The sequence below is a fragment of the Homo sapiens genome, chromosome 15 (assembly GCF_000001405.40).
Source record: "Homo sapiens chromosome 15, GRCh38.p14 Primary Assembly".
Lineage (NCBI taxonomy): Eukaryota > Metazoa > Chordata > Mammalia > Primates > Hominidae > Homo > Homo sapiens.
Genome location: NC_000015.10, coordinates 51715475 through 51729028, shown reverse-complemented (window position 1 = coordinate 51729028; position 13554 = coordinate 51715475). Strand labels below are relative to the sequence as shown.

Below are 13554 nucleotides of genomic sequence, written 5' to 3'. Positions count from 1 at the left end.
AGGTTAAGATTTTCATTACCTTTTGAAAAACCTATTCAAAGCCTTTTGTGACATCTCAAAGCAGTGATGATATATTATGGTATTCATCTGGGCTTATCCATGTGAGATTTTCCCTATATATTCTTACTTTGGGGGAGAAACAAATTTTTTTTTTTTTTTGAGATGGAGTCTCACTCTGTCACCCAGGGTGGAGTACAATGGCACAATCTCGGCTTACTGCAACCTCTGCCTCCCAGGTTCAAGCGATTCTTCTGCCTCAGCCTCCCTAGTAGCTGTGATTACAGGCACCTGCCATCATGCCTGGCTAATTTTTGTATTTTTAGTAAAGATGGGGTTTCACCATGTTGGCTAGGCTGGTCTTGAACTCCTGACCTCAGGTGATCCACCTGCCTCGGCCTCCCAAAGTGCTGGGATTACAGGAGTGAGCCACAGTGTCCCGCTGAGAAACAATATTTTATGGGAGAAAATTTCTACCTTCTTCCTTCTCATTTGCTGATTATACATTAGAATCTGCCCTTACCTGTTGCTTTCTTACTTTTCATTAAATTTAATGATAATAATTGCTGACACCTTTGAGTACTTCTTGTGTGCCATATGTGTGTGTGTGTGTGTGTGTGTGTGTGTGTGTGTGTTTTCTCCTGGAGTACAATGTTGTGATCTCGGCTCAGTGCAACCTCTGCCTCCCACCTTCAAGTGATTCTCATGCCTCAGGCTCCCGAGTAGCTGGAATTACAGACATGCGCCACCACGCCTGGCTAATTTTTGTATTTCTTTTTTTTAGTAGAAATGAGGTTTTGCTATGTTGGTCAGGCTGGTCTCAAACTCCTGACCTTGGCCTCCCAAAGTGCTGGGATTACAGGCATGAGCCACTGCGCCCAGCCCATATGTTGTTCTAAATACTTTACATGAATTAATTCATTATGATATATGGAGAGGAAGGAACTGTTACTATCCTTACTTTACTGATAAGTAAACCGACAGGGAATGGTTAGAAAGTGGGAAAGCCAGGATGTGAACTCAGAAAGTATGGCCCCTGAACCCATGCTTCTGAGTACTATGCTGTATTAAACTCAAGACTCAAATCTGCCCCTGTCCTTAGATTGGTTCCCACCTTGTTGCTAACTGTGTCTGAATATCCCTGGTGTTCTTGACTCTGTCATCTTGTGTGTCATCTTGTAGTCTAGACCATAAAGGTCCACATACATCTTAAATGCTTACTAATGACATTGAGATGAAGACAGTGGAGCCCCTGACTTTAGGAAGCTTGTGGACCAGTTATAGTGAGTCACTTGTGCAGCAGTATGTACAGAAGCCAGGGGGAGCCTAGCCCTTCACTGCCTGTGGACTCCCTGACTGCACACAGCCTCTGAGTCTGTCACCTTGTCTAGTCCTCTGTAGGCCCCTTGCCTGGCCTTGATGGCCCATTGTGCTCTGTATGATAGATGTATCTGTCAGCATTGCAGCAGAATACAGATAACACTCTCAGAGGATGTGGCCGAAGAGAGTTTAATAAAGGGACATTTACTGAATGTGGGCATAGTTGAGGGAACCAACAAGGGAAGTTGAAGCACCCAGAGACTAGCAATAGCAGGGAGACATTACCCCTAGGCCTGAAGGGCCAAGGGAACACTGGCAAGATCTGGAGCCTTGGATCTGGGACTCCTGATAGGAACTCTCACCAGAGAGGAATGCAGCCACTGGTTATGGTAAGGTCGTTCTGCTGCTGTTTGAAAACCAACTGGAATTCCAAGGACAAGGGGACCTGGGTAATGCCGTTCTTAAAAAGTCAGCCTCCTAGGGTTTAGAATAAGCCCAAGAAGAGTGGAGGAATGGATTGGGAGGGGAGAGTGGGTTTGAAAGGAGAATAAGCAGCACGACAGATAACTTACTACCCATTTCTGATTACTTCATCTTCCATGCCCACTCCTCTGACCTGCGTTAATTCATCCATCCATCCATCCTTCCATCCACCTGTCCATCCATCCTAAGCACTTAGTGTGTATGAGATCTTTGTCAGACCAGGAAGGCTATAGCAATAACCAGTTCTTGCCCTCAAAGAATTAATAGTGTACTCTTGCAGTTCCTAGCTCTGCTCAGCAGTTTGGATCCTGGTCCCATCTGTTTCTGTCTTCCATCATTATTCCCAGGAAGCAATGACTATTAGCAGTCGTAGTCCCCTTCTGATAAGCATTTCAAAGGGCACTGTATCAGCAAGAGCTCTTTCAGCTACAAGTGACAGAAAACCTAACTCAAATTGGCCTAAACAAAAAACAAACTCCAAGTGGAGTTTAGTGGATCTTGGAACTGAGCATGTTCTGTCTTCAGGCTGTGATCCAGAAGTTCAAATGCTCACCTCTAAGGTGACTCCAGTATCAGATTCCACAAGGTGCCAGGATGACTGCCAGCATCTCCAGCCTATCTCCTTCCAGCAGAAAGCAGTAGAGAACTCTCCCCTCGACTACCGTCCTGCAGGAGTCTCTTTGCATGTCTGAATGATTCTGTCATGGGTCTGTGATCTATCACAAAAGCCTGTGATGCTCCCCAGGGCAGGAATGAGTCATATGCTCACTCTGGAGCCAGGGGAGGGCTTAGTGTCATTGGAAGCCTATGCACTAAGAGAGATAGAGCAGCTGGATGCTTGGGGGCAAGATCTAGGGGTCCTAAAGGCGAAATAGCAATAGGTATACCTGAACCTGCTACGGGCAAAGTGTCCAAGTTATTAACCCTTTCAAACCTGAACTAGACCAGAGATACTTGGGGTTTTTAGATTTTAATTTTGTCTCTAAAAGGCACCTGCCCATGTTTATGTTCTCTTTCTCCCCTTAAACTAGAAACGAGAACACAAAAGACCATCCTTTTTAAAAATCTCATTCCTTTAATGGAGTATCTTTAGAAGAAAAAAGAAAGCTTTACATGTACTATTTGCATGGAATCAGCTTATAACAAAGCAGGATGAACAGGGTCCACTTAGTTGACTGTTGTTTTTGCAGGCTTTTTGAAGTAGAAATACAATTTTTTTGTTTTTACTCAGAATTCATTTGGCATTAAAGGCTCCCCATAATGTGATTTCATTAGTTGTGTACTTTAATTCAGATGTTGTACGGACTTCGGAGTCAGACAAAAATCCCATTTTAAACATTTAAAGAGCCATATGTACTTGGTCAAATCTACCATCTCTTTTGTGTTTTGATTTCTTCATCGCAAAGTGGAGAGTAGTAAGTACCATCCACTGCCAGACACTCTAATCACTACTTTCTCTCTCTCTTTCCATATAGATATATATGGGAATATATGTATAGAATGTACATATATTTTTATATATTCTCTCATATATATATATTTCCTTGATGTGAGTGGGTATATAAGCTCTCATTTAATCCTTGCAACAACCCTGTGAAAGGTAGATGGTACCTGTTTTACACATGAGGAGAAAGGATCAATGATATAAGTAACAAGCTCATGTTCATACAGTAACTGTATTTACTAAGTACAGTTCTAGAGACATGGGAAGCACTTCATAAGTAAAACAGCAGCAATGGTAAGTTTAAAAAAAATCAGATAATAGAAATGTTAAAACAAGAATGGAATTTATTAAGTGCTAAAAATTTTACATTTTTAAACTTCAGAGATTTAAGTCCACTGATGTTAAAAGCTGCCTTGTAGTAGAAATAGTATAATGTGGAAAAATTAGTCTGTCCTTTTTAAAAATTGGGAAACAATTCTCCAACATCTCTTGAAATAACTAGAGATATCTGGGGAGGTTACCAAACCTGAATGAAGAGTCTCAAATCCCAAGAAAGCATTGTGTACATTTTGCTTATGAATATTGGTAGTTCTGTATTGTATAATAAATCTTACTCCTTGACTTGGTTATATGTAATTCTGTGTCTCCTTTTTTATATTTTAGATGGAACAGATTAAAAGGGCCAATAAACTGTTTACCAATGATTGTATATTTCTGAAGAAAACTTTGAACATCCCAGTTATATCAGAGAAGCCTTTGTTGTTTAATGGACTTAACTCCATTGATTCTCCAGAAAATGAAACTGCTGATAACAGTTTTTCTCAGGAAGAGGAGCCAGTGGTGGCCGGGGAAGACCTCCCTCCTCCCAGTCCTCAAGAATCTGATGTTCAGCCTGTGCAGCCTGAGGAAGTGTCAGCCAGAGATTTCCTGCAGAGACTTGACTTGCAGATTAAGTTATCAACACAGGCAGCCAAGAAGCTAAAAGAAGAGAGCAGGTAAGAATACCCTGGTACAAATGTCAAAGTCTAAATAAATCACTATTAAGATGTCCTTGCTGGGCCAAATCTTTCTTTTCTCTTTTCTTTGCCTTTTCTTTTCTTTTCTTTCTTTCTGATTTTTTTTCTTTTTTTCTTAATTTCTTTCTTTCTTAATTTCTTCCTTTCTTAATTTCTTTCTTTCTTTCTTTTTTTGCTTTAAAAACTGCATTTTAGTTCTAGAAAGGCATTTTTAGTATATAAACTCTAAACAGAGCTGCTGCCTGATGCACAAGGCTTTATCTGTTGCAGTGTTTTTATCTGTTATTTACTATAAAAAGTTTGCTTCTTTGCTTTAATAGCGTCACTGTCCAGCTAGCACTTCTGGATAGCGGCAAAATAAAAGTGTCTCTCTCACTGACACTTTCAAGAGAAGTAGTGTCATAGAAAATACTTGTAAAATATTGATAGTTGCAAAACTTGTCAAAGACATTGTCTGTTATTTGTTACTGGGTGTTTCCTACATAAGATCTCATGTGAACTTTTTTCTTTGTTTTTTAAATTTGATATTAGGGCAAATCTTTCTCTCTCCTATAGAATTGGTTTCCTTTTTTCTTTATGATTTGATTTCAAAAAAGTACAATCTACTGTGTTTCCTTTTTTGCTCTGGCTATTGGGAAGCTTGCAACTAAAATTGATACCTGTGTTCAACTCCTATAATATTTCTTATGATTAATACATTGGTTTCCTTCTCCTTTCCTTAGTCCTGATTTTTTTATTTCTATTTTATTAATCTTATTGTATATATGCCTTTTGTTGTTAGTACCTTAAATCCTTTTGGGAAAGAGGTAGAATATAGAAAACATAAACAAATATAAATATGAATATAATTTAGTATAGATTTAAAATATATGTAAATATAAGCAAATATAAATACATAAATGAATGACATTATTTATTCTAATAACTGAGATATGAATAAAATGGAGATAGTAAGGTATGTCTTAAGTATTGGCATTTCATACAGTTGTCTAGGCATGCACAATATTCTAAGTTGATATATTCCTTCTTTGGCAAGTGGATATTGTATAATAAGTTGATGTTTTAGTTTTCTGCATACAGTTCTAAACTCTGATTTATGCTGTATTTATTTTCTTTCAGAGATGAAGAAAGTCCCTATGCAACTTCCCTCTATCACAGTTAGGTGATTTGGGGGCATAACTCTAACCAAAATTAAGATATGTTTGGACCATAAAGAATCCAACAACTGAAGATTCAAAAACATCCCTTCTGGATTCCTATAGTGTCCATCTTAAAATCATAACTAGGTAGTTCTACCTGCTGCAGTTGCACTGAAGTGATTAGTTCCCTCTGGCTTTCTATAATTTTAAGTCTTTATTATGGCATGATGGCAAGGTTGTAGCCTAAAGCTCATCACTTTTGTAGGTGGTGTTAGTTTTTAGACTAGCTTTTATAAATACTAATTGACATAAAGCATCAAAGATTATTTATATATTTAGGCTAAAAATAATGTTTATCTCCTTATGCAATCCTGATTATGTGAAAATATGGTTGCTGTTTAAGTGATGCTGAATTTGCTGTGTGTTTATAACTTAAGTGCTATATATATATTTCGATATGTCTTACATATTCTCTATTAATATAAAGAACCAAATTTTGTCTGCTATTTTGTAAAAATAAACTACAAAAGCCTGAATGAGAAAATAAACTATGTTTTCAAACTTGAGTCTCCTTTTTTTTTTTAACAAATGAGAAAATAAAATTGACTTTTAAATTATACATTTAAATGCTGACAGCTTCTTCTTCACTTTAATGGTTTTTATTATTATAAATGCAATTTTGAAAAAAGTATTCATAATCTAAAAGCAAAACAAGTATAATTACTAGTAATCTTGGCATTTTCATTGACCTAATGTGATTCAGATATGGTGAAAACATGGAATAAATCAAAAGAACAAATAAATAATACCATAATCTGACATTATATTGCAGAATTCTAGTATAGATTTCATTGCTAAGTTACTTTATAAGTGTTTGGTAGTCCTGTACTTATTTGAATTGATTTTTATTCCCATAATTTAATTGGTCTTTATTATATGTATAGATTACAGTAGGACACTTTAAGCAATATATCATTTATAATTAAATATTGTTTTGGTCTCAATTTCTGTTCAACTCTTAGATTAAATAAATCTTTAGGCTTCCACAAAAATTCCTCATATCTACCCCATCCCAGCATAGCAAAAATACTTTCACTTTCTTCTTTTTGTTATTTTTTTCTTCTCTCTCTTTCTTTTATCTTCCCTCATTTTGTTTTCCCCTGTCTTGCTTCTCCAGGTCATCCATTAAGCAAGAAACAAGTGCCCTTAGGTGTTAATGCATCAGAGCTTGCAGAGTTAGAACTGCACATATCTAAGCCCTGAGGCTGAGCAACTGCTGCATCAATGGGAAACAGTAGCTGTCAGCCCCTGTCTTGCTGATTTTCTTGTTTGTTCCTAATATATATAATCCCTGTGTCTTGTCTTTTTTTTCTCATGTTATAGCATCTTTGAAATAGGTTACTCTCTTGATCATGCTTTGCTGTTTTCTTGTATTCACTACCTGAACTGTGGGGAGTTAGTTGGATGAAGAGAGACCTAAATGAAAAAAAATAAGGGAAGGAAAACAGGTATGTATGTAAGAAAAGGTTCAAACAAACATCTGTGGTGGCCTAGGAACCATTAAAAATGTAGAGTTATCATGCTATTTAACATAAAATGTTCTGAAATTTGAGAGTAATCCAAAAGACATAACATGAGCTCAAATTTGAAATTAAGACCACAATCTCAAAAACATTTTTTTCTGAGTATTTTATTTTTGCCTAAGGTCTCTCTTAGCATTCTCTAGCCAAAACATTGGTCATCTTCAAGTTATTAGTAACTTGGAATTCTTTGTGGCCACAGTTAAACTATTCTGGACTGAGTACTTTAGTCCCTACCTTGCACATAGAATCACTGGAGTGGGCTGAGACAAGAAACTTACGTTCTATCCCAACTTTACCATTTCTTGGCCGCACAAGCTGGAGTGTATCCTGTGCTTTTGTTCCCTTTGTGAACCAGTTTCCTGTTTCATAAAACGGGACTGATGATGTTCCTTTTGTTTTGATTATGGATAGGAGCTAATGAATGCCAATGTGCTTTGAGAACCACAACAAACTCCCTAAGTACATGTCTTATTTTTAAAAATACTGCATGTTTAGATACATTATAGAAAAGTGAATGGATAAAATGTTTTAGCCAGCACCAGTTTATTGTCTGATGGACACGTAGCCTGTTTGGGTATGGCTGAATTAGAGTCAGTCATGTTATCAAAGATGACTCATGGAAACAGTCTGGTTCACTATGTTTTGGCAAGTGTTATTTGGGCAAAGGTGTTTTTAGTTCCCTCTCCCCACTCAACAGATGGGTACTGGCTTCTCTAGAACATACTGAGTTTAGTTCGTGTGTGTGTGTCAGGCTTTGGCTTTTGTTTGTTTTTGCAGCTCTCTGGAGAGGATGAGAGAAGAAACCAGCCTTTCCCCCACAGTCCCCACCAAAAGGTGGGATACCAGGTAGGGGCATTCAGGACAGCAATGCAGGTGTCAAAGACCATTTGAAACAGTGACAGCCAATATGTCCAGAGTTGGTTCCTGCCGGTGGGTCTGTGGTCTTGCTGACTTCAAGAATGGAGCCACAGACCTTTGCGGTGAGTGTTATAGTCTTAAAGATGGCACGGACCCAAAGAGTGAACAGTAGCAAGGTTTATTATGAAGAGCAAAAGGACAAAGCTTCCACAGCGGCAGGCGACCTGAACAGGTTGCTGCTGCTGGCTGGGGTGGCCAGATTTTATTCCCTTATTTGTCCCCTCCCATGTTCCGTTTTTGCCCTATCAGAGTGCCCTTTTTTTCAATCCTCCCTGTGATTGTCTACTTTTAGAATCCTGCTGATTGGTGCATTTTACAGAGTGCTGATTGGTGCGTTTTACAGAGTGCTGATGGGTGCATTTTACAAACCTATTGCTAGCTACAGAGCGCTGATTGGTGTGTTTTACAGAGCACTGATGGGTGCATTTTACAATCCTCTTGTAAGACAGAAAAGTTCTCCAAGGCCCCACTCGACCCAGGAAGTCCAGCTGGCTTCACCTCTCACTAATACACAAATTACATATTATGTTATTTTTACAGTTTGAAACAAATATATAGAAAAATATGTATGTAATTAATTTACACTGAATGATACATTTTCAAAGCATTCTCTGGTTTGGGAACATTAACCATTAACATTTCAAGAGGACCTTGCGCCACTGTATGTTTCCAGGGCTGTGTTTGTGGTGGGGGCTGAGTTGCAGGGACCTGAAGTTCATTAACCTTTTCCTCCAGGAAAGCTGCTCGACCAGCTTTGGATCACAAGGAAGGAATGATTTTTATCTCTATTTCTACCTTACTGCCTGGCCCTTTGCTCTCTGTTGAGAAAACTTGGCTTGGATCTAATCTAGTTTAGATAACTGAGATGTGGCATACATTTTTGCCTTGCTTTATGCAGTGTTTATGACCTCATTTGTCTTCTTAGAGAGTACATAAATATCTCTCTTTATAAGTAAACTCAATGTCTGAAAAGTCACTAATAGGAAGTGTTAAGAACAGGGGGAAATTGTTAGTAAATCCAGCAAATCCTATACCCATTTACCTGGATCCTTTTTATGTCACTGAGCCTAATAAAAAGCCAGCTAAAAAGAGCAGCCAAAAAAGCAGATGGCTCCTCCAAAGCTATGAGACTTTGAGAAAATGTGAATTTATTTCAGCTCCCCTAAGGGAACTGCTGGTGGAAATGACATCTTGTAATAGACACGCTCTGCAAGGTGCTTTAGTACTTGGCATGCCTTGAAAACAGAACCCCCTTAATTCTTCGGGGAGTGCTTATGTGGATGAGACAGTGGAAGAAGGATGAGTTTTAAGGTCAGTCCATTAGAGGCTTTTTCAAAGCAACATATTCTGATTATAAAATATAAGTCTATGAGGAAATAAGGATTCTGTATACAAAATCTCAGCTTACATACAACTTTACTTTCAGATAGTTTTTACGGGAAGAAAGCTATGTTTTAACCACTTGTAAAAGGTTAACTACTGTAAATTCAGCACTTTCTAATAACCCTTGGGTCAAAAAATTTTAATCACAGAATTAGAAGTGTTTTAAGCTATATTATGTTTTCTGAAACAGTTGAAAGACTCCTGGATCTTTTGCCATTTTTACAGGCTGCTATAAATGCGCTTGATGGCCTCGGCTTCTTCCTTGTCAAGGATGCCTTTCTCCACATAAGCATCAGCTTGTTTATTGATGAAGTCTCTCATCTTTGAAAGGTCATAATCTGGAAAATATTATTAGAGCATAATGAGCAAAGATCAGGAAAGGCCAATCCCATTACAGTGATTACCATTAACTGAGAAGCATTTTATACAATAACACAATTACCATTCCCCATCTTTCACATCGGGAGGCATTTTAATTCTTGGCATTTGTGTAGTACTTTGCAGTATAAAATAATATTTACATGTATTATCTCATCTGTGCTTCATCACAACCCTGTGAGATGTTCAGGTGGGTCATACCATCCCCATTTGACCAAACAGGAAATAGGCTCATGACCAGGGCTTTGCAAATTTTAATGTTTATACCAAACACCTGGGGCTATTGGGAAGTGGCAGATTCATATTCAGTAGGTCTGGGGTGAGGATCCAGGTTATGCATTTTAAACGGCTGTCAGGTGATACTGATGCTGTTGGTCTAGGAACCACACTTCGGGGTTAAGTGCCTTGTTCAAGGTCACATAGGTAGTAAAAGTTATGATCAGAACCGGGTGTTCTGACTTCCTGACTTCCTGACTTATACTAGGTTTAAGTCCATGTTGATGTGACAACCCACTTTTTTTTTTCAAATTAAGAGTTACTTTATTTCATGCTGTTTGAATTGTATGCAAGGAGCAAAAAGCCAAACTGTAAACTCTTTTTGGTTCCTCTGTCCTCCTTAAACAAACAAACAAACAAAATCTATATACATTGTCAAAACACCCACCAAAAATAAAGATTTCCAGGTAAGGAGGCTGCCTATGACACCTTTCTGAAGCCTTTTAAAAACCCCCATTTTCCCTTGATCCTTTAAGTATTAGGCAATAACAGCTGTAAATGACTAGACAGAACGCTGCTTTCTGTTAGTTGGTGAGGAGAAGAGAAAGGAGAGAGTGGGTATAAAAGGGTGGTTTAGCAGCCACCCTTAGCGAGCCTGAATGTAATCTGAGCCTGGGTCACTTGGGTATCCTTAAGCTCTTATGAGAAAGGAAAACGAACCATGAAGGACCTCTCTACAATCACTAAGTGAGTGAGGCTTAGACAGGGCTTATATCCTCTCTGGCAAGCAGGACATCTGCTCCCTGTTAGGGCACAGCCATGAGGATTGAAAGGGAAATCCCAGCACTGGACACTTTACAGCCATCACCTTAATTGCCCCCCACAAAACCCCACGAGGTTATACCCTATGACATCTGTCTGTCTGTCTGTCTGTCTGTCTGTCTGTCTGTCTATCTATCTATCTATCCATCCATCCATCATCTAACTATCTATATAGGTTTTCGTCCATGATTCCTGGCTTATAACTCCCATATCCCTTGTTTCAGCCTTTTGTCATAATGTTAGGGCACTTTGGGCCTCAGAAGAAGGCCTCAGGAAGCAGAATCTTTCTCTCTGACCTGCCCTCCTTTCACCCAGCCAAGGCAGGACTCTAATCTGATTGTGGGTCATAACACCCTTGATCCATAGAGGGTCCTACCCTGTACCCTGGAGGAAGGAATGTTGCACAGAGAGGCCAAGAAGAATCTGCAGAGATAGGCCTTACTGGGTTTAGACCATGTCCTTTTTGTCCAATCACATTCCTACATGGTTGTCAATCATGCCTATCCAATGAAGTCTCCATGAAAGGCCCAAGAGGACAGGGTTCAGGAGCTTCCAGATAGGTGAACACGTGGAGGCTGACAGGAAGGTGAACAAAAACTGATTCACATGCTGGAAGGGTGTTGCACCCCAGCTCCACAAGGATGGAAGCTCCTGCACTTCAGACTGTTCCAGACTTCACCCTATGTATCTCTTCATCTAGTTGTTTATTTGTATCCTTTAAAATATCCTTTTAATAAACCAGTAAATGCATTTCTCTGAATTCTAGCAATCCTTTTTTTTTCTTTTTTTCTTTTTTTTTGACAGGGTCTCACTGTTTTACCCAGGCTGGATGCAGTCGTATGATCATGGCTCACTGTAGCCTTGGACTTCTGGGCTCAAGTGATCCTCCTGCTTCAGCCTCCTGAGTAACTTGGGACTACAAGCGCACACCACCACACCTGGCTAATTTTTTTTTTTTTTTTGAGACGGAGTCTTGCACCGTTGCCCAGGCTGGAGTGCAGTGGCGTGATCTCAGCTCACTGCAAGCTCCACCTCCCGGGTTCACGCCATTCTTCTGCCTCAGCCTCCTGAGCAGCTGGGACTACAGGCACGTGCCACCACGCCCAGCTAATTTTTGTATTTTTAGTAGAGATGGAGGTTCACCATATTGGCCAGGATGGTCTCGAACTCCTGACCTCATGATCCACCCACCTCGGCCTCCCAAAGTGCTGGGATTACAGGTGTGAACCACTGTGCCTGGCCCACCTGGCTAATTTTTAAATTTTTTGTGGAGATGGGGTCTCGCTATGTTGACCAGGCTGGTCTCAAACTCCTGGCCTCAAGTGATCCTCCCACCTTGGCCTCCCAAAGTGCTGGGATTACAGGTGTGAGCTACCATACCAGGCCCACTCTAGCAAATTAACTGAACCCTAAGAGGAGGCTGTGGAAACCGAAACTTGAAGCCAGTCAGCCAGCTGTTCCAGAGGCCTGGACATGCAACTGGTGCAAAGGAAGGGGCACTCTTTTGGGACTGCGCCCTCACCCTGTGGTGTCTGAGGCTGACTCTAAGTAGATAGTGTTGGAATTGAATTGAATCAGCGGACAACCAGCTAGTGTCGGCTGCAGAATTGATTGCTTGCTTGGTGGTGGGGAGAAACCCCCACGCATTTGGTCACAGAAGTCTTCTGTGTTGATTGTTGTGTTGAGTGAGAGAACAGGAGAAAGCACATTGTTGCTTTTTCCACACTCATGGGTAAGCATTAGTATCCTCATTTCAGAGATGAAGAAACAGAAAAGGGGGTAAGTTACTTGCTCAGGTAGTGGTAGAGTCAGGTTCTGAATGCTGGTCATTGATTGACCATTCCATAGCCTTGTAGTACTGACTATAAAACATCTAACAGGTACAAAGCAAATGTTCAATAAATGCTCATTTTTATTTTTGTTTTTCACTTTTCCCATTCTCTCAGGCACGAAGTAGAGAACGAAGCTGAACATACATTTTGCAGGCACCGCACCTAAGGCGATGATTCCTTTATTCCTGACCCCTAAGGCACAAAGGGCACTTCTTGTTTATTCCTGGTTCATTAATACTGCCTCTGCAGAATAGGCTGCAGTGTCAACATCTTTAATGGAATAAAAGGCAGACTCCCGCTAAGTGATTTTAATGTGCATCAAAGTTTGAAAACCACTGCCTTGCTGGGCGCGGTGGCTCACACCTGTAATCCCAACACTTTGGGAGGCCGAGGCAGGCGGATCAGGAGGTCACGAGATTGAGGCCATCCAGGCTAACACGGTGAAACCCCATGTCAACTAAAAATAAGAAAAATTAGCCAGGCATGGTGGCGGGTGCCTGTAGTCCCAACTACTTGGGAGGCCGAAGCAGGAGAATGGCGTGAACCCTGGAGGCGGAGCTCGCAGTGAGCGGAGACCGTGCCACTGCACTCCAGCCTGGGCGACAGAGCGAGACTCTGTCTCAAAAAAAAAAAAAAGTGCAGACTCCCAAAGACAGATGTGAAGAGGTCCAGTGATTTGAATGGACAAACAGGCAAATATTTTGCTTTCTTTTGAAAAGGAAAAATTGTTATCTTTATGACACGGCTATTACTGTGTGCAGTGGGAAAACCAGCATGGTGCAAAGGAAAGGCCCTTTGGTCTAATGCCAACTCTGCCCTAGCTGGGGGTTAGGAGACATAAGCCAGTAGCCATCTTGCTAACCTTAAAAGAAGTTTTAAGGTTGTAAGGCTCAAAGGAGAGAAGGGCTGTGATTCGCTTTTTAAAAGCATATTTTTTTAAGGCTACATAAGATTTTCTCATTATCCTCACTATCACATCACATGGACCTCCCTTTCCTGGGTTTGGGAAGGGGATTCAGGTCA

The 13554-nt window shown here is 40.2% G+C and overlaps 2 protein-coding genes across 6 annotated transcripts in view, besides 1 other annotated feature; one reads left to right on the top strand and one right to left on the bottom strand.

Moving 5' to 3' along the window:
- Nucleotides 1-6018, top strand: part of LYSMD2 (LysM domain containing 2) — a 28441-nt gene extending 22423 nt beyond the window's left edge. For all 4 annotated transcript variants that reach the window (NM_001143917.2, NM_153374.3, NM_001363969.2 and 1 more), the window contains exons 2-3: nucleotides 3908-4239; nucleotides 5380-6018. In NM_001143917.2, coding sequence (NP_001137389.1) covers nucleotides 3908-4239; nucleotides 5380-5422 — 375 coding nt within the window. In that variant the 3' untranslated portion in view covers nucleotides 5423-6018. The remainder of the gene's footprint in view (nucleotides 1-3907; nucleotides 4240-5379) is intronic.
- Nucleotides 2557-2616: a silencer, noted in NCBI's record as "silent region_6433". NCBI's record gives its function as "represses an Ori minimal core promoter by ATAC-STARR-seq in GM12878 lymphoblastoid cells {active_cell/tissue: GM12878}" and the evidence as "EXISTENCE:reporter gene assay evidence [ECO:0000049][PMID:35858748]".
- SCG3 (secretogranin III) overlaps nucleotides 8003-13554 on the bottom strand; it is a 39524-nt gene continuing 33972 nt past the window's right edge. For both annotated transcript variants that reach the window (NM_013243.4, NM_001165257.2), the window contains one exon: nucleotides 8003-9621. In NM_013243.4, the coding sequence (NP_037375.2) occupies nucleotides 9503-9621 (119 nt within the window). In that variant the 3' untranslated portion in view covers nucleotides 8003-9502. The remainder of the gene's footprint in view (nucleotides 9622-13554) is intronic.